General features: G+C 43.4%; 2 long non-coding RNA genes across 4 annotated transcripts, besides 1 other annotated feature; one reads left to right on the forward strand and one right to left on the reverse strand.

The window, feature by feature from the left end:
• The first annotated feature begins 385 nt into the window (after nucleotides 1–385).
• Nucleotides 386–9408, forward strand: AVPR1B-DT (AVPR1B divergent transcript). The gene is made up of 3 exons (NR_186693.1): nucleotides 386–428; nucleotides 673–943; nucleotides 9093–9408. It is a non-coding gene; the product is annotated as an AVPR1B divergent transcript (long non-coding RNA).
• Nucleotides 811–1105: a silencer, noted in NCBI's record as "tiled region #13667; HepG2 Repressive non-DNase unmatched - State 7:EnhWF". NCBI's record gives its function as "represses a minimal TATA promoter and a strong SV40 promoter by Sharpr-MPRA in HepG2 cells {active_cell/tissue: HepG2}" and the evidence as "EXISTENCE:reporter gene assay evidence [ECO:0000049][PMID:27701403]".
• Nucleotides 8809–16745, reverse strand: LOC105372869 (uncharacterized). Of its 3 annotated transcripts, none has more exons than XR_922476.3 (3): nucleotides 16580–16745; nucleotides 12615–12701; nucleotides 8809–9009 (listed from the first exon to the last, which is right to left on the reverse strand). It is a non-coding gene; the product is annotated as an uncharacterized LOC105372869 (long non-coding RNA). The 3 variants fall into 3 exon arrangements; XR_922475.3 differs by having other exon boundaries at nucleotides 12615–12708; XR_922474.3 differs by having other exon boundaries at nucleotides 12615–12750.
• Nucleotides 16746–26661: the final 9916 nt, after the last annotated feature.

Here is a 26661-nt window from a genome sequence, read left to right on the forward strand (position 1 = left end):
CGGCTCGGGCGGGTTTTATGGGCTCCCAGGCCGAGCCCGGCGGCCTGCGGCTCGCCAGTTGGCTCCTGCAGAGGAGGGAGGAGTGAGGTTCGCAGGCACCCACCCGGCGGGATGACCGAGAGGCCGGCTGCTGGAGGGAGGGGGGGCAGAGGGGGTAGCGGACGAGGGACAGGGAGCGAGACAAGCAGGCGACGCAGGCCAGCGCCCAGCAGCCGGCAGGACACACCGACCCGCAGGCAGGCAGATAAGCTCCTCTGCGCACTCACCCTGGAACTCTCGGGCCGTCTCTCCACAGGTGCATCCCCGGGGGATGGTGAGAGGCAGTCACTCCTCCCACCTACGCGGGGGCACTTCGGCTGGCGGCTGTTGGCGCGCCCTCTGCCAGCCGGCTAGCCGGTGCAGGATCCACAATCTTCAAGGGTGGCCAGGTGAGCGAGGCGGCATCCCTGATTGCCAGTCACCTGGGAGTGACGTCTGACCGCAGACCCTGTTGAGGGACTGCGAGGCATAGGGAAAGGAAGAAAAAGTGAGGGTATATGTGGGGGTGGGGAGACGAAGGAGCTAGACCTGAGAGCCCTGGTGCTTGATCGGTGGGAACAGCCGGAGAAATTCCCGGTATTTGCGTCCCCAAGGGACATCTTAACTTCTGGCCTATGTGCTTTTCGTGCTTAGGTGCTTCCAAGATCCTAAACGCAGTTAACCACTCGGCGAGGTAGAAAACAGGCCCAGAGAAGTTCAAGAACTTGCTGTAGAAGATTACTGAACGAGTAAGCAGCAGAGGCCGGTCTAGAACCAGCCCCGTGTGCCCTTCTGACAGCGCAGCAGCAGCACTTAACACCTAACCGGCTTGGCTAAATTCTATGTGAGAGGCACTGGTGCTGACGGTAAAAATAAAAACAAAACACCATCCAGTCCAGAGGCAGCTTACAGCTCAATAGAGAAGGTATTGTGTGGTGTTGGCTGTGAAATTCACTTAATCTTCAGTATGCAAGATGGACTATTGGGACTCTCCCTAGAGCAGATTAGAAGTTAGGAGTGACAGACTGGGCGCGATGGCTCACGTCTGTAATCCCAGCACTTTGGGAGGCCGAGGCGGGCAGATCACGAGGTCAGGAGATCGAGACCATCCTGGCTAACACGGTGAAACCCCATCTCTACTAAAAATACAAAAAATTAGCCGGGCGTGGTGGCGGGCGCCTGTGGTCCCAGCTACTGGGGAGGCTGAGGCAGGAGAATGGCGTGAACCCGGGAGGCAGGGCTTGCAGTGAGCCGAGAACACACCACTGCACTCCAGCCTGGGCGACAGAGTGAAACTCTGTCTCAAAAACAAACAAACAAACAAACAAACAAACAAACAAACAAAATTTAGGAGTGACAATAGTAGGGTCCCAGACTCTCAGAAAGGGCAGAGTCTGTGACAGGAGAGAAGTCCTTTTGTCTTGCTTTTTTTTTTTTTTTTTTTTTTTTTGAGACAGAGTCTTGCTCTGTCGCCAGGCTGGAGTGCAGTGGCACAATCTCGGCTCACTGCAACCTCTGCCTCCCAGGCTCAAGCGATTCTCCCTCCTCAGCCTCCCAAGTAGCTGGGATCACGGGCACCCGAACCACGCCCAGCTAATTTTGTATTTTTAGTAGAGGGGGGTTTCGCCATGTTGGCCAGGCTGGTCTCGAACTCCTGACTTCAGGTGATCCACCTGCCTCGGCTTCCCAAAGTGCTAGGATTACAGGCATGAGCCACTGCATCTGGCCTTTGTCCTGCCTTTTAACCAGACTCCCCTTTATAATGTCACCAGACATCCAATTAGCATTACTTCTTGAAGGTTCTACCTCCTCAACAGCCTACAAATTCAGCGCCTTCATTCCATCCCATGACCACTTACCATTTAGCTGCCTAAAATATAGTAGCATCCTCCTTCTGTGCTTTGGAGCCCAAGCTTCCACCTTCCCAAGGATTTTGCTCTTTATGATTTTCATTCTGTCTACCAGATCATTCCCACCCATTTGCAAACAAGCTGTAGTAATATTTATTTAAAAAAATAATTATAACTCTCCTTAGCCACTATACTCCCACTTCCAGCTATTACAATCCCTACCATTTCACAGCAGAACTTCTCAAAACAGCTGTCTATGCTTGTCCCCATTCTCTTACTCTCAATAATTGATACATTGTACTATTCTGGAAATTGCTTTTTAAACTCTACATTATGGTGGGGCATGGTGGCTCACGTCTGTAATCCCAGCACTTTGGGAGGCCGAGGTGGGCGGATCACCTGAGGTCGGGAGTTCGAGACCAGCCTGGCCAACATGGTGAAACCCCATCTCTACTAAAAATACAAAAATTAGTTGGGCGTGGTGGTGGGCACCTGTAATCCCAGCTGCTTGGGAGGCTGAGGCAGGAGAATCACTTGAACCCAAGAGAAGAAGGTTGCAGTGAGCTGAGATCCCACCATTGCACTCCAGCCTGGATGACAAGAATGAAACTTTGTCTCCAAAAATAAATAAATAAATAAATTCTACATTATTTTTGACATCTGTCTATGCTGATACATAGGCTAGATCTAGTTCATTCATTTTTAACTACTGCATAGTATTTAAGCATATGGATATGGCACATTTTGTTCACCAGAAATTTATTCAACTTTTATAATTTATTTCCAGCTTTTCCCCCATTTATTTTTATTTTAAAGTGCTACAGTGAATGTTCTCATATGTCTCTTTGTGTTCATGTGTCAGAATTTCTCCCAGGTGTATATCTAGAAGTATATGCTGAGTATAAGTATTGCTGTGTCATATAATGTATGAGTTTTCAACTAAATAGGACCATATCCTGAATTTTATCTCTAAATTAGTTGTATTAAATTAGTTGTCCAACAAGCTGCATTTTAGTTTCCCAACATCTTCATATTCAGACTTTTTAATTTTTATCAATCTGGTAGGTGTAAAAATAGCATCTCATTTTGCTTTTTTATTTCTCTGATTACTGAGTATTTTGAGTATCTTTCCTTGTATTTATTTGTTGTTTGGATTTTCTCTTCTGTAAATCATTCATATCTTCTGCTCAACTTTTTATTAGATTGTTTTTCTTATCAAATTGTAGGACCTGTATATATTCTGATATGTTGAAAATATCTTCTCTAATCTGTCACTATCTTTTTGCTTTGGATGGGGTCTTTTGTTACACAGAAAATTTAAATTATGATGCAATCAATTCCTCCTTTTATTATTTTGGCTTTTTGTGTCTTGTGTTCTGTACCTTGAGAATAGAAATATTTCCCCCTGTATGTTCTTCTAACAAATTTAACTTTTGTTTTTCATATTTAGAGCTTTAATCCAACTGGAATTTATTTTTCTATTATGTGTTGAGTAAGAATCTAACTTCATTTTTTCCCCAGCAGGGCAAGCCAATTACTCCATTTATTGAATTGTCCATCATTTCTCAACTATCATCTGTATAATACATTATTTCAAATTTTATATGAGGCTATTTCTGGAATCTCTGGCCTATTCTATTAATTTATTTTTCTATCCCTATCCCAATATTTCACTATTTTAGGTACAACAGCTTTCTAATGAGCCTTAATTCTTGGTAAAAACAAGCCTCCCTTTGTTCTTATTTTTAAAATGTTTCTCAAAATTTTGAAATGGTGAAATTTGGTATCAGTTTATTGGGTTCCAAAAAAGTTCTGTTATTGAGTTTCTGGTTTGAGGCATTGACTTTAGAGATTAATTTGGGAAATAATTGATATATTTATGATTTCATTCAGGTCTATTCTTATGTCCTTCAATAATGTTTTATAATTTTCTTCAAAAATGTCTTCCCACCTTTTGATAGATTTATTTCTATGTACCTTACAGTTTCTGTTGCCATTGTGTATATAATTTTGTTATACCACATTTTCTAATTACTATTGGTTATTCCCAATATATGGGAACAATATTGATTTTTGTGTCTTGCTCTTATATCCAGCAGTTTTCCTGCAGTTTGTAAATAATTTTGGATTATCTATACATACAGTATTGTCTGCAAACAACAATAATTTTTTTCTCCTATTCTATTTAGCTCTTCTTTTTCTTGTCTTATTGCAAAGGCTAAGACTCCAGTACAATGTCAAAGAGCAGGAATCGTTGATGTTTCTACCTTTAATGAGAATGCATCTAAAGTTTCACCATTACATATTATATTTATGGTAGGTTCTCTTCACTTTTTAATTTTTAAAAGATACTTAGTTTTACACACACACATATTATAAAGAGTCAAATTATTCTACAGTAGTGGTTATGAGAAAAAGTAATTCCCCATACTACTAATATTTTTCAATTTCCTATTTTTCGTTTTCTTCCATTTTTTACTTTTTCACTAAAGAAAACTGTATCCATATACAAAAGCAGAGAGAATAGCATGAGGAAACCCCATGCTTCCATCACCCAGCTTTAACAATTACCAACAGATAGCCAGTCTGTTTCATCTAAATCTTTATCCATTTCCTTCCATCCTAAGATTATTTTGAAGCAAATGTCAGACATCATATCATTTTATCTGTAAGTATTTCATATATGTATTTCTAAAGGATAAGGACTCTTAACTATAACTATAACACCTTACCATCCCTGTATTAGTCAGGGTTCTCCAGAGAAATAGAACCAATAGGAGATTTGTGTGTGTGTGTGTGTGTGTGTGTGTGTGTGTGTGTGTGTGTGTGTAAAGAAAGAGAGAGAGGAGATTTGTTATAAGAAATTAGGTACATAATTTATAGAGGCTGAGACATCCCAAAATCTACAATTGGCAAGCTGGAGACCAAGGAGAGGCAAAGTATAGTTCCAGTCTGAGTCTGAAAGCTTGAGAACCAGGAGAGCTAATGGTGTCAGTTCCTGTCTGAAAGCCAGCAGGCTTGAGACTCAAGGAGAACAGATTTTCCAACTGGGGCTTCAAGATGGGAAAACAACATTTCCCAGTGTAAGCAGTAAGGCACAAAGAGTTCCCTTTTATTCAAGGGAGGATCTGCCTGTTTGTTCTATTCAGGCCTTTACTGATGGGATGAGGCCCACCTGCATCAAAGAAGAGCAATCCACCTTATTCAGTTTATTGATTTAACTGTTAACCTCATCCAAAAACACACCCAGAATAATGTTTAACAAACATACTCAGAATAATGTTTGACCAAATATCTGGACCCCCATGGCCCAGTCAAGTTGATACATAAAATTAACCATCACAATCTCTAAAACTATTAATAATTCATTAACATTATCACATATTTTGTCAGTGTTCATAAATTCTTAATTGTCTAAAAACAATGTTTTATTGTCTTTAAATTTTTAGTGGTTTATTTGTTTGAATCCAGATTCAAATAAGGTTCATGCACTGGCATTGTTTAATGTGTCTCTTAGGTCTGTGATTTGTAGATTACACTGCCATCCCTTTGTATGCTTTGTTCCTTGCAGTGTTGTTGTTGAAGAAACCAGATTGTTTTGTAGAATTTCCCATGATGTATGTTTTCAAAATTGCATCCCTGTTAAGTTGTTTAACAAGTTTCTTTGTTTGCTGATGCCTGATTAGATTCTGGTTAGATTTGTTTAGTTTAGTTTTTTAGCAAGAGTGTTTCATAGGTGTTATTGGGTGCATCATATGTAATGTGTGATTGTCTCTCTTTCTGTGATGTTATCAGCCATTGTTAATTATTGCACAGATCCAATAATTCATCAGAATTGCAAAATGATCATATTCTATTATTGCTTCATTGTTTATTACTTTAAATAATTCTGTAAAGAGAATCTTCTCTCATTAACTATTTGGTTATCCTTAGGCATAGTTTGTACAGAAAAGACAGAATAAATGCTTCTTTTTCTATTATTAATAGTTTTCAAGATAATAAATTTGTTTTCTGGAATTCTTCAAATCATGGATTTTTTTTTTTTTTTGAGACAGAGTCTTGCTCTGTTGCCCAGGCTGGAGTGCAGTGGCACGATCTCGGCTCACTGCAACCTCCGCCCTTCCAGGTTTAAGCAATTCTCTGCCTCAGCCTCCGGAGTAGCTGGGATTACAGGTGTGTGCCACCATGCCCGGCTAATTTTTTTTGTATTTTTAGTAGAGATGGAGTTTCACCATCTTGGCCAGGCTGGTCTTGAACTCCTGACCTCGTGATCCACCCGCCTCTGCCTCCCAAAGTGCTAGGATTACAGGCATGAGTCACCACGCCTGGCCAAATCATGGATTTAAACATATTTTATATGTTTGAGTCACTTATAGTTACTACTTTGATGCTCAAATTGTCCCGACTTTGGCAAATGGAGCTGATTTATGTTGGTACCTTAGTCCTTTTGTGTTGTTTTTTGTTTATCAATGAATATTTTCTTTAAAAATTTAGTGTATATATCTTTTTTTTTTTTTGAGACAGTCTCGCTCTGTCTCCCAGGCTGGAGTGCACTGGCATGATCTCGGCTCACTGCACCCTCCACCTCCTGGGTTCAAGCGATTCTCCTGCCTCAGCCTCCTGAGTACCTGAGATTACAGGTGCCCACCACCATGCCCCCGCTAATTTTTGTATTTTTAGTAGAGATAGGATTTCACCGTATTGGCCAGGCTGGTCTCGAGCTCCTGAACTCAAGTTGTCTTCCTGCCTCAGCCCCCTAGAGTGCTGGGATTACAGGCATGAGCCACCATGCCCAGCCCTAATGTATATGCCTTTTTAATTGAGAAACAATTCAATATACCATAAAAGTCACCATTTTAAATTGTACAGTTCAATGGGTTTTTTTGTTTGTTTGTTTGTTTGCGGGGGAGTCTCTTTCTGTCGCCCAGGCTAGAGTGCAGTGGCACAATCTCGGCTCACTGCCAGCTCCGCCTCCCAGGTTCACACCACTCTCCTGCCTCAGCCTCCCGAGTAGCTGGGACTACAGGTGCCTGCCACCACACCCGGCTAATTTTTTGTATTTTTAGTCATGTTAGCCAGGATGGTCTCAATCTCCTGACCTTGTGATCCGCCCCCTCAGCCTCCCAAAGTGCTGGGATTACAGGCGTGAGCCATCACGCCCGGCCAATGGTTTTTAGTATATTCAAAAAGTTGTGCAACTATCACCACCATCTAATTTCAGGATAACTGCCTTACCCGAAGAAGAAACCACATACCCATTAGCAGTCGCTACCCATTCCCCCTCCCACTCCCAGCTCCTGACAACTACCAATCTACTTTCTGTCTCTACAGATTTTCCTGTTCTGGGCGTTTCATGCAAATGAAATCATATAATATGTGGCCTTTTGTGACTGGCTTCTTTCACTTAGCAGAGTGTTTTCAAGGTTCATCCATATTTTAACATGTAGCAGTACTTCCTATCTATGGATAAATAATATTCCCTTGTATGGATATACCACATTTTATCTTTTATCAGTCAATAGACATTTGGGTTGTTTCCACCTTGGGCAGGTTACAAATAATGCTGCTAGTGAACATTCATGTGCAAGTTTTTGTGTGGACATACGTTGTTAATTTTGGGGGTATATACTTAGGAATGAAATTGCTGGGTTATACGATAACTCTGTTCACGTTTTTGAGGAACTGCCAAACTTTTTCAAAATTGGCTGTGCCATTTTATCCTGAGTCCTTTCTATAAAGTCTTAGCATTCTTTGATAGCTCTATTGCTTTCTGGCATGGCAAGACATTTTTGATGTAAGTGGCATACTGTATATTTTTTGTAATTCTTTTTTTCATTTAACATATCCTGCAGACTACTTCATGGGAGAATTCAGAGATGTTTCTCTTTCCTTTTTGCAGTTTTTTTAATACTCCAGTGTATGGAAGTACCATACTTTATTCATCCAGTCACCTTTGACAGGCATTCTGATTGTATCCAGTCTTGCTATTACAAATAGTGCTATAATAAATTGCCTCTTTCTATACATAGATAAATAGATCTATGTATAAAGATATATATGTATGTATGTTTTTTTTGTGTGTGTGTGTGTGTGTGTGTGTGTATCTTTTCATATTTCACTAGTATAATCTTTGTGTTAGGCGCCTAGAAGTGAGATTCCTGGGTTAAGGGTATATGCATAAACAATTCTGCTATATATTGCCAAATTATCCTCTGTAGGGATTGAACCAATTTGCATTATGACTGGGAATGCATGAGAGTGTCTGTTTTCCCAGTCTTGCCAACAGAGTATTCTTAAATTTTGGATTTTTGCCAATTTGATAAGTCTAAAATAGTATCTCAGTTTAGCTTTGATTTGAATGCCTTTTAAGTGAGGTTGGACATCTTTTCATAATGTTAAGGGCCATTTGCATTTCTTTTTCTAATAATTATTGATATCTCTAGCTGATTCTTCTGTGATTGCTGACCTTTTTAATTATCCTTTTTGAGAAACTTTATATACCATGGAAATTAACCTTTGTCTGACATTTAAGTTGCAAATATTTTTTCCCATTTTGTCACTGATCTTTTTACTTGACTTATGGTATTTCTTGATGTAGGTCATCATTTTAAATTCAATTTAGTAGATTTATTTGCTATTAACCTTGATATTTTTAAATAACAAATAGATACTGCCACTTCTTGATTTTTTAGTTTTAGGAATTTTCTACTCACCTTCCCTTTGGTAGATGAGAAGATAGTACCCTTCCAGCAAAGACTCACCACTCACATTGCACATTTTCAGAACCCCACCCTCCCAATATAGTAATGGGAACAGTGACTTGTGCGTCCTCATCTGAAACTGATGTCATAAGAACCAAAAGTTGGATCTTAAGGGAATAATAAAGAGTTTGTGAAGCTCCCTCTCAAAAATATAGTTAAAAATAAAAAACAAGGCACAATTTATCCTCAGATAATTTAATCAAATCTTTTAAAAAAGGATTTGCTTCCCTGGATTTGAATGTTGGTTTCTACATTATCAAGCAGTAGATGTAAGAGGCAGAGAAATCTAAATCCAAATTGTTAGGTGTCACTTCCATTGAAGAAGAAAGAAGTTCTGTTTTCATATGTTCAACTTGAACACCATGTTTTCAGGAACAGATCTATCATGAAAAATAAAATGTGTTTCTCAGAATACATATTTATCAATGTATCTTTATTTAACAATCTCCCATTTTTGCGAAAGGATGAATTCAAAATTCTTCTGGCATTATTACTTGCCAAAGAAGAGTGGGGACATGTGTCCCTCTTCTGCCATACTGTGACCTGGACAGAAGAAAGTGAATAACGACATTTTTCTCCCTGAAGCCTTCGGGAGCTTGGCCTGCAGAAGCCTCTTCTTGGTTAGGACTCAGAACCCTCTCAGAACATTGTGACCTGCCAGAGCTGGCATTGCACAGAGACCTTCCTGGGCAACCCTTGATTCACCGTCCCATAAATGTCCAGATGGAGGAAGTGGTCTGGGGAAGATGGACCATTACGAAGATTAATGCACCTTTTATAGCTAGGAGCAGCCCTTGATGTTGCCATTGCCTTCTGTTAGGTTGGTTTAACACTGAGTTTGATGGCCAGTAAACAGGTAAAAGGAATTGTATGAAGGACAGGAGGGTTAACCTGGCCAGTTTTGACTTCAGGGACTCCCAGAAAGTCTCCATTTGGCTCTTCTAATCATAAAATAACCTGTATAGTCACAAAATGTTGCAGTTGAAAGAGACTCATCTTTTGGTTCTGGCCAAGAGGCTGAGGACTATGGAAAGGACCTCAAAGATCATCAAGTCCCATTCTTTCATTTTCCAGAAGAAAGTCCAAACTGAAAGCCAAAGAGACAGGTGGAGTTCTTTTTTTTTTTTTTTTAAGACAGAGTTTCGCTCTTGTCTCCCAGGCTGGAGTGCAATGGTAGGATCTTGGCTCACCGCAACCTCCACCTCCCGGGTTCAAGCGATTCTTCTGCCTCAGCCTCCCGAGTAGCTGGGATTACAGGCATGCGCCACCACACCCAGCTAATTTTTGTATTTTTAGTAGAGACTGGGTTTCTCCGTGTTGGTCAGGCTGGTCTCGAATTCCCGACCTTAGTTGATCTGCCTGCCTCGGCCTCCCAAAGTGCTGGGATTACAAGCTTGAGACACCACGCCCAGCCTACAAATGGCATTCTTAACATGGCACAGAGCTGGTCTAGACTGGAGCAGGGGAGGGCCGGGACCTAAGTCTCTTTTTTCCCCTTCTGTGCACCGCTCCCTGAGGGCAGCAGTTCCTCATCCTGGTTGCACATTCAAATCTCCAGGACAAATTGTAAAATGCCTAAGCCTCACCCACAGTGATTCTGATTCGCTGCCTTAGGGCAAAACATTCAGCCCTGGAGCCAATAAAGCCAACTAAACTTCTACGATGGGCTGTGTAATAATTTGTATAGTATATGATTTGTGCTTTTATAGGGGCTTTTAGAGAGTAGATCAGAGAAATGACTCGAATAGTGGTAAGAATTTCAGTCGCCCCATCGGATCAGGGGCATATGTGTGTACAGTGGTTTTGGGAGGCTCTCAGGCCTGTGAGGGGATCTAGTGCCTAGGCATCCTGGCAGCCGGAAACACAGAGGAACTCTATAAAGGGCTTTCCCTCTCTAGTGCCTAGGCATCCTGGAATCTAGAGAGGGGTAGCTCTTTATAGAATAGGAACACTCTCCCTGGAAGCCCCTCGGCAGACCTCAGCTCCAAGGGGGAAGAGGCAGAGTTAGTACGAGATAGTTTCATTGGCAATGGGGCTGGAGTCTCCAGGGGTACGTACTTAGCTCTCTGACATGACTTCTTAGAAGAGGAGGCAATCTTACTATGCTCAAATAACACCACCCTTGACTCCTTTGGGAGAACAGTTGAAACTTTCAACTAGTTATTATCAGTTCATGAAAAAGTTTTAGTTTTTCTTTTAAGCTCGTTGTAGCTATCAGACCTCCAATAAGTTTCCTTAATGACCTGAGGGCAGTGATTCACAGACGATAGATGCATAGCATAGCTTTCTAGTTTCTGGGAAAGCTGGCCCCAGCCAACTTGTGAGCTTGACTGTTTGAGGCTGGGAGCCCTGTGGAGGGAGGGGTCCAGGGTGCAGGAGCAGGGAGGTGCACAGCTGCTGAGCCCAAGAGGTGGGAGGCTGGGGACGGCTGCTGAGTCCAGCTTCCTCCTATTCTTGTATTCAGTGCCAGAGCTTCCTTGATCCTCTAGAGAAGTAGAGTCTTAAGCAAGACTCATCATTAAGTTGGCTCAAGTACACGCCTGGTTCCTCTCCTTCAGCTACAACAAGAGGAGGGAGGTTTGGCTTCAGTGTCTTCCTAAACCTGCTTTCAGAGACCTGTGCTTCTTTTTTCCTTCTACTTCCTGCCCCACAACCTGCCCCGCCCCCCAATCCTGCCATGTTCCCAATATTCTCATGTGCATTCCCCCATAGCAAGTGTTACTGCTCAGGTTGGGTTGGTGGATGGGTAAGTGGCAGCCTGTGTTACAGACATCCTTCTTCATTTATCTTCCCATCAACACTTACCAATTCTGTGCCCACTGATGGTGGCAGAGGGCAGGGGAGTTCATTAATCCATGTAGCCAATGTGCACAGGTAGGCAGCATGAAGGCTGAGTTGTCTATTAGGCACCTCTGTATCCCCAGCTCTCACCATAATTCCTGGCACATAATGGGTACTCAATAGCCCTTTATTGGAAGGAGGGATGGATGGCAGATATGGGGGAAAGAAACACTGGACCTGAAATGGGGAAACCTGAGTTCTCCTCTCGGTACTGCCAATGACTCAGTATACCCTTGATAAAGTCACTTCATCACTCTGGCCTCAGTTTTCTCTTATACAAAACAAGGTAGTTAGATTGGTTGATCACTAAGGTCCTTGCAGTACCTCTTTTAGGGTCCTATGATGGTACAATTCCACAATATCTTGACCCATGCTGAGCTGTTAGGGCTACGTGCTGAGGAATATATGCTGAGCTGTTATTCTTCTCAGGTGATACCGATGTTTAAAACAGGCCTTCTGAAAAATAGCACCCAACCCAAGGAGGGACTCTAATTCTGAAAATTCAGAGCTAAAGGGGGAAGTCGTGGGCCAGATTTGTGGGCACAGATTCCGAGTCAGAGTCCCACTCAACAACCAGGATTGGCAACTGCCCGGACAGAGGATGTCTGAATGTCATACAGCAGGCCAGGCTTCAGGGGTGGTGGGATCGTAGGTGAGCAATCTCATTCAGAGAAATAATGTCCCTCTTTGAGATGCCTCCCATACTGGTCCATGCCATGTTCCCTTCCTATGATCTGGCTTAAATTCAAGTCTGGTCTTTAACATACTTCTACCTTCAGAATCTGGTGTCCTGTTCCCCTCAATGAAAAAAAAAAAAAAGTCATTGTATAGCCAAAAATATATTTTTAAAGGACCAGTCTAAAGTAGAATTGCTGGTACATTTCTATAGTGAACTTTTGATGAAATAAAGATATTCCTGACAAAATATTGCATAGGAGGGCAGATTTAAGTGAACCAGTACGTTGGAAAGAAGCACAGACTAGATTTTGTTTGCTTTTTAGTATCTACCTGGTGCCAGCTCTATCAAGACATGATTCCAGATTCTTGCTATAAGCCTGGAAAATAAACCCTGTATTATTTTCCTTCCCCCCCACCCCACAATGGTGAGTAAATTGAAATGATTCAGAGAGGTTGAGTGACTTACCCAAGGCTCTTACAGTCAGTAAGTGGGGGATTACAATTCCAAGTCTTTTCCAGATAAGACTCCAAAATTCAGTGTTTCTTGCTGCTCCTGGGTACTTAGAGAAGGTGACATACAGCTGCAGCATCTCCATTATCTCCTTAATAGAACCAATAATACTAACAACAAGTAACATTTACATAACCCTTTAGAATTGAAAAATTACTTTGATCTTACATTATCTCATTTAATTCTCACCGTAGTCCTTCCTAGTGGATATTTCAGTCCTAATTTTAAGACAGGCATTGAGGTTCAGAGGAGCTAATTACTACACCAAGATCACACAGCATATAAAGACTGATATAAGGGATGAGAACAAAAATCCTTTGGGGTTCTCCTAGGGAGTATAAAGGGATTCTGAGTATAAAAATCTTGAGAATCACCATTCCAAGCCAAGCGTTCTTCTCAGCTTTGCATTTCTGCCTGCTTTTATCAGTCACACAGACTTCACATCCAGGAATCATAGACTCACAGAGCTTGAAACATGGAAAGGCTCTCAAAAATGATCTAGGCTGGCTGGGGGCAGTGGCTTAGGCCTGTAATCTCAGCACTTTGGGAAGCTAAGGTGGGAGGATCACTTTAACTCAGGAGTTTAAGACCAGCCTGGACAACATAGTGAAACCCATTTCTACCAAAAAAAATTAGCCAGAGACAGTGGTGCACACCTATAGTCCAGCTACTTGGGAGGCTGAGGCTAGAGGATCACTTGAGCCCTGGGAATCACTTGAGCCTCGGAGATTGAGGCTGCAGTTAGCCTTGGCTGTGCCACTGCACTCCAGCCTAGGTGACAGAGCAAGCCCCTTGTTTCAAAAAAAAAAAAAGTAATCTAGCCCATCAGTTTTCAAAGTGGAACCCAAGAGTTCCCCAAAGGTGCTGCAGGGGCTCCCTTGGGGGCAAAGTCTAGGCCAAGGGGGTGAGGTTCCTAGAAAAATTACTATTCATAAAACTAACACTAGGGTCTCTCTTAGAAAAGAATTGCCTTTGCTTAGGAAAAGATCTAATAAGCTCCAGGGAGATAGAGGTAAGGCCCTGGTGGTATGATCTGGAAGGCAGCAAGGAAGAGATGGTTAAACCAGTAACATGAAGAATTAACAGGATTTGGAAAGTGAGGAGGAGTTAGAGAGAGGAGGAGGGAGAGAGGGCCGGCACTGTGGCTGAACGCCAGCGCGGAGTCAGCAGGAATGGTACCTGTGCTTTTTAAGAACTGGGAAGTTTAATTTTAGCTGTGTGCTCTAATGGCCCTGTGATGTACACATGCCATCCCTGGCTCCCCTCCACACATAGATGCCTCATGTAGACACGTTTGAGAAGACGGGAGGGGATTGAGAAAAAGTCGTGTCCTATATTTCTGCCAAATGTTGAGGCAGAGAGGAAGAAAAAATTGCAAAATGCAGAATGTGGCAGAGCTACACATTGGAGCCAAGGTGACAGGGAGTAAGCAAGGGCATATGGATTCACAGAATGTATGGGGTGGGGGTTCCGGAGGGTCTTCTCCAGATCCTGAGGAGCAGGCGACCCATTGATATCAAGACTAGCACAGGCCTGGTGCAGTGGCTCATGGCTGTAATCCCAGCACTTTGGGAGGCCTAGGTGGGCGGATCACATGAGTGAGTTCAGGAGTTCAAGACCAGCCTGGACAACATGGCGAAAATCTGTCTCTTCTAAAAATACAAAAATTATCCAGGCATGGTGGCGCACACCTTTAGTCCCAGCTACTCGGGGGGCTGAGGCAGGAGAATCGCTTGAACCCAGGAGGCGGAGGTTGCAGTGAGCCAAGATCACACGACTGTACTCCAGCCTGGGGGACAGAGTGAGACTCTGTCTCAAAAAAATAAAAAATAAAAAAAAAAGCAATAATGAAAGCTCATATGCATACTGAAATTTTATAAGCTTCTCTCTAGATATTCCAGTTGCAATATTCTGGATAAATTTACTAAAGCTGCCCTTTTCTATTTTTTTTTTTTTATTCCTCTGCTTTGCTGGGCCCTAAATATGGACCTAGTCTTCCTATGGGGTAGTCAGGACTAGCTAGGGAGGCAGAGTGGGTGAAATAAATCAGGGGATCTTTTGGGAGGGGTTGGTGGTGGTGAGCTTTTAGCCACATTTTCACATGGGGTGTTGAACATGGAATGAAAGTAAGAAGGGGGAAGACACTGACAGGAGATGAGGCTGACAGGGGCAGAGGGCCTGCCGCTTCTGGGTAAAGTTGAACTCAGCCCAGACTGTTCTAGAATCCAGACAAGTGAGCTGCACACACACAAAAAAAAATGTGAATATCCCTCCAGAGCCAGGGCAGGTTGCTTCCGCTCCTGTGTTCCTCCGCAGTCAGCATCGGGTGTGCAGGGCTCTGAGTCCTCAGAGAATGCATCCCTTGACTTAGAGGAAAGGGCCAGAAAATGCCACTGGCCGACACAAAGCCAAAGGATCCCCTGGAAATGGCTGCACATGGCAGTCTTTAGATACTGACTTGAGGAGATGCTATGACTGAGTGACTGAGTGAAGCCAAGGAGACTGAATTGGAGCTTCAAACACACATCACTCTCTGAAAGGCGCTCAGAATGTCTATGATTAAAAAACAACAAAAATCTGTCTATATTTTTCTATTTTATTTTTTGAAATTAGCATTTCCTAAAACATTTAATCATGGGGTCCTTTTATATATAAGGCAGAAGTTGCATACTGAATCTGGCCTGGATATGTTTTGTTTTCTTTAATGAAGTTTTTTTTGGCTTGTTTTCTGTTTTTTGTTTTTTGAGATGGTGTCTCACTCTGTCACCCAGGCTGGAGTACAGTGTGTGATCTTGGCTCACTGCAACCTCCGCTTCCCAGGTACAAGTGATTCTCTTGCCTCAGCCTCCCGAGTAGCTGGGACTATTGGCACGAACCATCATGCCTAGCTAATTTTTGTATTTTTAGTAGAGACGGGGTTTTGCCATGTTGACCAGGCTGGTCTCAAACTCCTGACTTCAGGCGATCCACCCACTTCAACCTCCCAAAGTGCTGGGATTACAGGTGTGAGCCACCGTGCCCAGCATCATGAAGCATTTTTAAAATTAGTTTGAGTTGACTGCCAACACTTAAAAATCAAGTGATTTCACCTAAAAATCCAGTTTACCAACTTCTCTTGAAAAAAAATCAGACCTGGTAACTTCAGGGCCTCGTTCTCACCTGGCCACAGTCTGCTGGAGTTGAGCAGTAGTCATCTTGCAAAGGGGTGTGCCCACCCCAGCTTACCAGAGTCCCCAGAACTCACCACTGCCCGCTCACCCCACTGAGCATTCATTGCCATTATCTTCATGTCTGTATTATTTTTTTCTTGTAGTAAACAGCATGAAAGTCCGGGCACGGTGGCTCACACCTATAATCCCAGCACTTTGGGAGGCCCAGGAGGGTGGATCACTTGAGGTCAGGAGTTCAAGACCAGCCTGGCCAACATGGTGAAACTCCATCTCTACTAAAAAATACAAAAATCAGCTAAGCATGATGGCACGTGCCTATAGTCCCAGCTACTCCAGAGGCTGAGGCAAGAGAATTGCTTGAATTCGGGAGGCAGAAGTTGCAGTGAGCCGAGATCGTGCCACTGCACTCCAGCCTGGGTGACAGAGTGAGACACAATCTCAAAAAAAAAAAAAAGAAAAAAGAAAAAGAAAAGAAAAAGAGCACAAAGAAGCATATTTATATTCAAGTTTCTATTGAGATTGTTTTATTCAGCTTGTTTCCTTTATGCTATGTACCTGGACCCCGTTGCATTTACATTTATGAGCCCTGTCATAACACCTGTCAACATCACATAGAACCAGAAAAAGGGAAGAGTTGCCAAACTGTCTCCTCTGCCCCCACCCTCACCCCTATACATCTGTATACAAATACAAGAACTAGTACTGAAGAAAGCCCTGGGCCATGGTGCTGTCCAGGGTACAGTCACCTACCTTCCCGCAGAGTATCAAGGATACCTCAGGAAAACACAATGAGAAACATAGCTGATATGAAGAAAGTTGTAACCTTTCGAGATGGTGTTATGTGGCTATTAGAAAAGGCATATCAAGGAAAAGAGTCCACTCAAGGGAAACCCCGTTCTTGGAAACAGGTGTTCTGTTGTAAAGTCCAAGGGTAGCTCTCCCTCAGCTTCTTCCACAGCCCTCCCCACCCTTTGAGCTAATTTCATGCTCACCAAGCAACCTCCTAGTTATAAATTCCATACCAGGAAATGTGTGTCTTGGAAAGCAAATGTGAATATTCTGGTTGCCGGACAGCTGTGCTTGTTCACGACTCATTTGTAAATTGGCCTCTTAGCATGCATGTTTCTTTTTTCTTTTCTTTTTTTTAAGACAGAGTCTCGCTGTGTTGCCCAGGCTGGAGTTCAGTGGCACAATCTCAGCTCACTGCAACCTTCGCCTCCCAGGTTCAAGCGATTCTCCTGCCTCAGCCTCCCAAGTAGCTAGGACTGCAGGCATGAACCACCAGGCCCAGCTAATTTTTTGTATTTTTAGTAGAGATGGGGTTTCACCATATTAGTCAGGATAGTCTCGATCTCCTGACCTCGATCCGCCCTCTTCGGCCTTCCAAAGTGCTGGGATTACAGGCGTGAGCCACCACACCTGGCCGGCATGCATGTTTCTTACAAGGTTAGGTTATCACAGTTCTATAACCCCCAGGACCATTAATAAAACTGGGCTCCTGGTATTATAAAACTGAGGAGCTAATCAGGCAAAACTCAAACACTGGCATCCTTACCAAGGGATAGATTCATCTGCCAGCCAGCCACCTTTTTGCTGCTAGAGGGAGATGGGCCTGTCTGGAGTTTTGGGTGCTGCGTCTTCCAGCCCCTGCTGCGGAGGTCTGCAATAGGAGACTGGTGGGTCCTGGTGCAGTTTGCTACTGAGCTCTTACTGTCCCTGGGCTCTGACCCTGATTAGTGCCTTCCTCTGTGCCTGACCCAGAGGAGTACTATGTAAATGTTTGTGGAAACAATCTCCAATGGAAACATTTTAGCAGGGACCAGGTGACCATCCATCAGATATGCCTACAGGGATCCTTGCTCTGTTTGGGAGGCTGCACTTCTTGATTTCAGAAGTCTCTTCCCTCTCTGATGCTACATCTCAGCTTCCTGGGCTGGCTGGTAGCAGAGGGCAGAGCAAGGAGATGTGAGAACAGTGCTGGCGTTCGGCCAGTCAGCAGTCTCGGGTGGGTCTCTGAAATGAGAAAACAGTACTATTGCCCAGTACGCATCTAGCAGCTTCCTAGTAACCAGAGGTGCTCTCTTCAGATCCCTGGATGCCCAGGAAAGGGAGATGAGGTAGGGGAGGAGAGAAGGAACACTTTTATCAGCTCAGTATTCCTTTGAGGCAGCAGGTGCTAGCTTAGGGCAGGGCATATAGGGAATGTGGGCGTGCTGGGTAGGGGTTGGGGATTTTGCCCACTCAAGCAAGACAAGCAGGAGGGGCCAGACAGCTGCAGGGGGTGGGGGTGGATGTGCATGTAGTTAGCCCTGCTGCTAATGGTAAAAATGTTACACATCCTTTAATTAGGTTGAGTAAAGGGTTACACTAGGGGAGAGTTTTGGGGTGTAGTTTGATGCCCTGCCAGCACCCATGGGTGGTGAGTGAGCAGATGAATGTAGCTGACCCCTGTATTTCCTCTGTGCCCTGCTCTAGACTGGCACCCAAAGTCTCAAAGGAAAACTGTGCCAATAAACCTATCCCTCCTAGGATGCCTACAACTACCAGCTTGAAGCATTGCTTTTACATTTTTCAGAGAAAAGATTGTAATGAGCCCATAACCCACCACCTCAATTTAACATTATTTTCATTTTGCCATATTCACTTCATTTTCGTTTTTTTCTTTCGATTTGTTTTGGAGACGAAGTCTCGCTCTGTCGCCCAGGCTGGAGGGCAGTGATGTGATATTGGTTCACTGCAACCTCTGCTTCCCGGGTTCAAGCGATTCTCTTGCCTCAGCCTCCCAAGTAGCTGGGATCACAAGCGTGTACCACCACACCTGGCTAATTTTTGTATTTTTACTAGAGACGGGGTTTCACCATGTTGGCCAGACTGGTCTCAAACTCCTGATCTCAATTGATCCACCTGCCTCGGCCTCCAAAACTGTTGGGATTACAGGCGTGAGCCACTGTGCCCAGCGCATATTCACTTCATTTTTATGCAAATCTCAAGCATCATGAAATAGGAAGCTTTAAAAAATCAGGATGTTGTCTCACATAACCATTATAACATTATCACATCTGACAAAATGAACAATAATTACTAAACGTCCTCTAACACCCAGTCAATATTCAAATTTCCCCAGCTGTCCCAATAATGAGTTTGTATGGTTGGTTGGTTTGCAGCAAAGCTTTTGAAACAGCTTTCCTGGAGCCTCTGGCTTCCACCCAAGTGTCTCAAGGGCCAGCAAGGGTGAGGCTAAGGGGGAAGGCCCAGGCCCCTGCCCCTGCTTCGGCCAGAGCAGTTTTTATTATTAGGGACAAAAAGTGAGTTTTCTGTTAAAAGAAAAAACAGAAAATCATTTCCATAAGGCACTATTTCTCTTATATTTTTCAAAGAGAATGTCTGGTGCTATAAATATCTTAAACCTGAGGGATAACTTCCTAGTGGTGGGAGAGTGGGATCCCTTGCTGGTGCAGAGTGGGGATGGAATGAAAGGATTTGGGAGAGAGTTGGACGGCTATAAAAGGAAGAATTTTATTCCCGCTGGGGATGACTCTGGATTCACAAAACAGACTTTTCCAGTACAAACAGAATATTTTGGATTTGCTTGGTAGTTTCTCCCTGACTGCTAATACATCTAATGCTTCACCTTTGCCCTTTCTAGCTACCTAGATCCCATTCTATAGAATCCCACCTAGTTCTTGCTCATTCATAGGACAGAGTTGTACAATCCGAGTCCAGTGAATTTTGAAACCCTCCCCTGCTCTGTTTATACTTTCCACTTTCCCAGGTATACTCCAGAGAACCTGACCTCAGGGAAATGGTCTTCCAAAATTCTAATCATTACAGTTTGATATTAACAAAACAAATAGTAACACAGAGTATCCATAACACAAACCTATCAGTAGTGAAGCAAGGGTTATTCTTCCAAGATGCAACAAATCAGCAATCTGACCCAGCAAGGGGCTACAGCTATTGTTATACCAGCCTAAAAAAGAAAAGCATGGATAACAAGAAAAGTGAGAAATTCTAGGAAATTCTGACCTTTTCAGGGAAACTTAATAATCACAGCTTTCAATAATAGTTAAAGGCCAGGCGCGGTGCCTCACGCCTGTAATCCCAGCACTTTGGGAAGCCGAGGCAGGCGGATCACCTGAGGTCAGAAATTTTGAGACCAGCTTAGCCAACATGGTGAAACCCTGTCTCTACTAAAATACAAAAATTAGCCGGGCGTGGTGGCAGGCACCTGTAATCCTAGCTACTCAGGAGCTGAAGAACGAGAATTGCTTGAACCCGGCTGGCAGAGGTTGCAGTGAGCCAAGATCTCACCACCGCACTCGAGCCTGGGCAACAGAGTGAGACTTTGTCTCAAAAATAATAATAATAATAATAATAATAATAATAATAATAATAATAGCTAGAGACCTTTCTCCTCCTTCAGGGAATGTGCCCAGATTAACCTGCCAAAATACTCAATATGCTTTTGAGACTCTGGAAGTCATCAACTGAAGTTATCATCAACTAATAATGCTTGGCTGTATTGTCTGTCTTGTTCAACTGCAGAATTGTAAGCTCCATAAACATGGTGACAATGCCTATGTTATATACACACACATGTGCCCTGTAGATAATCAATTAACACATGTTTTTCCACTAATATGCAGATTATACACAAGTAAGCTCAGCTTGGGCAGACAAAAAACTTGGGAACATTTCACATCCTCTCCCATCACCAATATTTGTGTAGCTTTTCAGTAAGGATGGATAAGACTCTAGCTTGCCCTTGAATCTAACTGACATGTATAATCATTTACTAAGTGCCTAGTTCTCTTTGTGTGTTAGTCCATTTTGTGTTGCTATAAAGGAATACCTGAGGCTGGGTATTTATTTTTAAAAGATGTTTCTTTGGCTCACGCTTCCACAGGCTGGACAAGCATGGCATCAGCATCCACTCAGCTTCTGGTGAGGCTTCAGGGAGCTTTTAGTCATGGCGGAAGGGAAGAGGAGCTGGTCTGTCTTGTGGCAAAAGAGGGAGCAAGAGAGAGAGGAGGAGGTGCCAGCCTCCTTGAAACAGCCAACTCTTGCATGAACTAACAGATCAAGAACTCACTCATTGCCATGGGGAGGGGACTAAGTCATTCATGAGGGATCCATCCCTATTATCCAACACCTCCTGCTAGGCCCCACCTCCAACATTGAGAATCACATTTCAACACGTGATGTGGAGGGGACACACATCCACACCAAATCACTTTGGCTATAAAAGATGCATAAAATATGGTCCATGTAATGTAGTTGGTGACACCAACCTGCATGCAAAAAACATGAAGGAAGGCAAGATAGTGTATGCTTTTCCCTCTGTTTATCCAAACATGACCCTGCCTTTCAGGTCCAAATCAAATCTTCCCCACTCACTAAGCATTTATCATTCATTCCTATACTTGGTCAGATTTTAATGAGGACTTACTGAATCCCAGGTACAATATTCAGGAATCAGAGACAGGGCAGTGAACAAGATAGCCACAGTTCCTATTCAAGGACTTAACAAACCAATGATCTTGAAAAGTTATGTAACTCTTACATATGTAGGTATGCTGGCAAAAAAACTGTAAGCTCCTGAAAGGTCGTGATCATATCTTACATTCTTTTGCGATCTCCGTACCAGCTAACATTTGTCCATAGAACTTATTGAATAAAGTTCGAAGGGCTGGGTTGGGTGGAATTTTTAGTAAATGTGAAAAGCTATAAATTGATAGCAAAATCTCAACACAGAGAAATCTTAAAACACTAAGAACTCTTGCCCACTCCTCAAAACTCAAAACTCAAATGTCACCTCCTCCATGATGCCTTCCCTTAACTATTCAGGCAGGGTTCGACCCTTTCTTCTCTGAATCCACACAATTGGGTGAAGACCATGGATAAAACTTAGCACAGTTATTGTAATTACTAGTTTACTTGCTTCCCCTCAGATAAGTAGTTGGGTGTTTGGAGGAAAGGGGAGAGGGTCCCCAAGCCCTCCCAGGGAGACAGCTCCTCCCTGTTTCTTGAATGGAGAGACAGTAGAGAATGCACGTGCCCAGCAGGCTTTTTCCTGATAGAATGACAGACATACAAACGAACATTCACAAAATTACCACTCCATGTAAACATATGAATGATGGTCCTCCCAACTCTTTTCCTGAGAAGTTAAGGATAAAGTGTTTAATTGTACATTTTAAGATAAATTAAAGAGTGTAATTGGATTGTAACTCAAAGGATAATGGTTGAGGGAAAGAATACCCTATTCCCCATGATGTGCTTACTTCACATTGCATGCCTGTATCAAAACATCTCATGTACCCCATAAATATGTACACCTACTATGTACCCACAAAAATTTTTTTAATTTTTTAAAAAATAAATAAATAAATAAATCTAGCTCAAGAAGAACTAGAAAAAAAAAAAGAATAAATTGTTCTAGACCTTTGTGAAAGGGAAATGGTGTAATTGGAGACCACAGACCTGGAGGTTGAGTACCCCTATCAGAGTGGGGTAAGGAGACTTGGGGCTGTCTTCATTCTGCATTATGAGAAATAAGGAAGATGCTAGTAGTAGATAGTACTTGCTGTTAGGTAAAGGGGGATACATCTCAAAAGAAACCACTAGTAGCAGGTAGGGAAAAATTTTAACTGAGAAGGTAGAAATTTTACCCAAAGGAGAGAATTCTGGCAGCTATAGATAATGAGTGGTTTAGCTAACAGGACCCCTAGTGAAGGAGAGGTTGTGGTCATGAGCTGAGGGCAGCAGGGATCTAATCAGAGTCAGAGACGAGAATGTCCTGAAGGAATGGGAGAAACCAAGCAGGTCCAGAATTCCAGGGACAAATAACCCAGACAAATAACCCAGGCAGGAATTCAACCTTGAGAAACAGAGAGGAGATTCAGGCATGGCATTTGGTGAGGAGCGCACTATGTGATAGCTATTTTAGAGCTCAGCCTTCACAGCCAAATGGACCGAGGCTCAAACCTCAGCTTGATCAGGCAAGTTACTTAACCTCTCTAAGTCTCAGTCCACATCCCTATGAAATGAGGCTGTTGAGAGGAATAAATGAGACTATGTGTGAATAGGGTTTAGGACTATGCCTGGTTCATAGTAAATACTAAAATAGTCATTGCAAATGTAATGGTAATGGGGGAGGAATTAACAGGAGTAGAGGTAATAGTAAGAGTGGTGATGGTGGTAGTAACAAGGAAATATTCCAGAATCTGATTGCTGGAATTAAGATAGCTGTCCGTTGGCACTGAACTGGAAGTCAGGACATCAGACTCCAATCCTACTTTTGCTGAATGCTAGATATGTGATCTCATTCAAGTCAAAGGACTTCTCTGAGCCTCGGTCTTCTCACCTGTCAAGTGGAGGTGTTCACACTGGTTGTGCACTACTCCCAGAATTCCTGCGAGAATTTCATCAGATGCAGCATCTGCAACCACCAACACAGACACTTGATGAATGCTGACCCACTCCAATGGTCAGGATTCGCCAACAAGACTGACCTGAAACTGAATCAAATGTTCTCACCTTTCCTTTTCTGAAGGAGGGTAAGGCCAGAGTTTGGACCAGGTTGAACTTGCCAATGTGTTTGTGATATAGACAGGAGAAAGGAAAATACTGGGTAGAAGAGGGTAGTTCCCTGGCAAAGTCCCCACCCTCAAGCCTGGAAATCCATGGCCCTAAACGGGAACAGGCATTCCTGTTTTCATGCCCCAAAGTTGATAAACCCCAGTCTTCACAGGGAGATGAGGAAACAAACAGAAAAGCAGAAGAAGGGCAGAGCAATGCGGCAGAGGGAAGGAAAGGAATGTCTGAACATCAAGAGGAATTCAGCTGGGGGCATCTAGAGAGGAGATCCGCCACTGGACATTCAAATTCCAGGGAAAGATCATCTTCCCACTCCATCCCCCTTCTAACTCCGCATCCATCCTACTGAGAGCCACCTCCACCACTCAATAAAACCCCTGCATTCATCCTTCAAATCTGTGTGTGACCTGATTCTTCCTGGACACCGGACAAAGACCTGGGTACCAAGAGTGTCTACTGAGCTGTCTAACACTTAAGCCATCCCTGGACAGCAAGGCTAAAAGAGAGCACTGTAACACACGCCCACTTGGGCTTTGGGAGTTGCAGACACCCACCCATAGACACAACCATGGGGCTGGAGCCCAAAAAGCGCTCACCCTGACTCCTGCACCTGACTGTCTGCATGCTCCCCTTCCTGTAAGGGGTTTGAGCACCCAGCGGCTGAACATATGAGCCACCCCCAATCACACATCCTGCGAGGGGGGGTCAGGGAACTCTTCCATTTCATCTGTTTAAGTGGTCTTGGCTGAGAGACTGGTTTTCTGGGGGGCAGAGAATTAGGCAGGTCATCATTTTCTCCCTCAGTCATAAATCACCTCCAAATAATCCTGGCTGTCACCATCAGAAAGCTTAAACTCACCTTGAATCCAACCTTTGAGTTAAAAGGAACTTGGAATTCTTTCTTTGACTCCCTTGGGCATTTAGGTTTTAAATTCATTTGTAAACATTGGTTTGGAAAGAAATCTAGGTAGATCCAGGTTTGCAATTTTAATCCGAAGCCACATTTCTGGGCTTTCCTGTAGCATACCCACCTAACTGGAAAATCTAAAAGTAAATACATTTTGAAGAGAGAGAGAGAGAAAAAAAAAAAATAAGTTCCTGCTGCTCTCAGATGAGGCCTTTGCAACCTGTGAATGATGTTATCATTTTTTTGCCTGTACAAAAAATAGACAGCTTTATTTTCACTTTCTTCTAAGTCATTTATGCGACTACAAAGGTGGTAGTGGGAGTCTCTGAGAATTGTTTTATAACACTGTGGTGCCCTCCTTTGAAAAACAAAACCAAATTATCCATGTATAGCACTAAGTGAGGTGGACCTGAGCAAGGCATAGCAATGTTTGCTTTCTGCAGACATCTGAAGTGGGAGCCATGGTGACCAGGCATACCTGATGGCCACACAGCTATCCCCCAGCACTCAGAGGAGCCATCACAGGGATATTAGATCACATTAACATTTTAAAACCTACTAATGCACTTATCACACTTACTCAACTTGTCCGGTGGATCTGGTATTTCGATCAAAAGAGTTCTAAATAGTAGGGGGACCAACTGTCTTGGTTGCTGGGGAATGAGGGATTTCCTGGGATGTGAAACTTTCAGTAAAACAGGGACAGTCCCCCACAAACTGGGACAGTGGTCATCCTGCTAAAGAGTGTCCCATTTTCCTATTGCTGATGCCAACAAAAAATGACAAGGCGAAGAGTAGAGACAGCACGACCCCTTCTTTAAAGCAGTGATTATCGAACTTTAGCCTGCCTCAGAATCCCTTGGAGGGCGCAGGAAAGTGGCTTGACTAGAATTTCTGACTCAGTAGATCTGGGTAGGACCAAAGAATGTGCATTTCTAATGAGTCCCCACATGAGGCTGATACTGCTCGTCCAGGACTACATGTAAGAACCACTGCTCTAAACACTGGGTTCTTAGCTGCACATTGGAATCACCTGAAGACTTTTTAAAAAATGGGTGCTTTGATCTCACCCCTTAGAGGTTTTGATTTAATAGCTATGGAGGTATTTTTCAACCTTTCCAGGTAATTCTAATGTGCAACAAAGTCTGAGACCACTGCCCTAAAAGGCACTGAATTCAGGAAATGACTCGATTGACATTTGTTTCCTGACATTTGTTCATTTGACATTCAACATGTACTTGTTGAGCAACTACTATGTGCCATGCACTATGACAGAGGCTGTCTGGTTAGACTATATATGATCCCTTCCTCAAGGAGCTTACTGTTTCAGGGAAAACACAAGAAAAACAAGTCAACGAAAAATAATATACAATTAAAAATTGAGATAAGAGCCCTGGAAAAAAAAAGAGCAGGGACCTAGGGATCTAGGGGAATAAGGGTATGGGGAGAACTATTCTGGACAGAGATGTCATTGAGGATGTCTCCAAGATGACATTTAAGCCAAAACCAGAAAAATGAAGGCCAGCCATCCTGCGTATGGAGAGAAAAGCACTCCAAGGAAGAGAAAAAGTTCTCAGAACTGTCGGTCGGGAGGGGAGTGCTCCTGGAGGCAGAGAGCTGGGCAGGGCGACCTGAGACAAGGTCATGGGTGGGGTGGACAGGGCCACATCCCTCCTAGACCATGGGAACCAGCTGAAGTCATATTCTAAGTGCACTGGCAAGCACTGAGGGAGAACATTTCTGTTTTCATTTTATATTTGAAAGTATATACATTTTTAAGGCTGCCATGTGGAAAAGAGATTGGAAGCCTCTGAACCCAGGTTCTTCACCAAAGACAGATGAGAGCGAGGGATTCAGATGGTGACGAGTCATGAGAATGTCTCCCAAGGGTTGCTGAGAAGGGCTGCATGGGGTACACCGTGTGCGGCTGTAGCTTTCGGGAGAAGAACTGTGAGTGCCAGTCACATACGGTGGCTGAGTGCACGTCTCTTGTGCACTGCGTGGGCGAACTCACCAGATATTAAGTTACAGGCATCAGTTTAGCACCTCCACCTCTTTTCAGTGTGGACTTGGGCTGCAGGCTGTTCTAATGAGGGGCTGGCTTTACAGTTCCCTGTTAGATGAACTGGAGGTTCCAAGGCTGTCAGCCAAGCAGGGAAGTCCAACTCCAGGTCCTGCAGCCCAGGGATTCGGGACTCCCAGGTGCACGGCCATCTGCAGTCGCCCTTTGCATTGTGGGGGATTTTTAATCTGTTGGCCAGATGGAGGGTCGGAATAAATGGTTCTGGCAGTAACCAGACACCTGAGGTGGGAGGACAGCATGGAG

Source organism: Homo sapiens, chromosome 1 (genome assembly GCF_000001405.40).
Source record: "Homo sapiens chromosome 1, GRCh38.p14 Primary Assembly".
In the NCBI taxonomy this organism is placed as follows: Eukaryota; Metazoa; Chordata; class Mammalia; order Primates; family Hominidae; genus Homo; species Homo sapiens.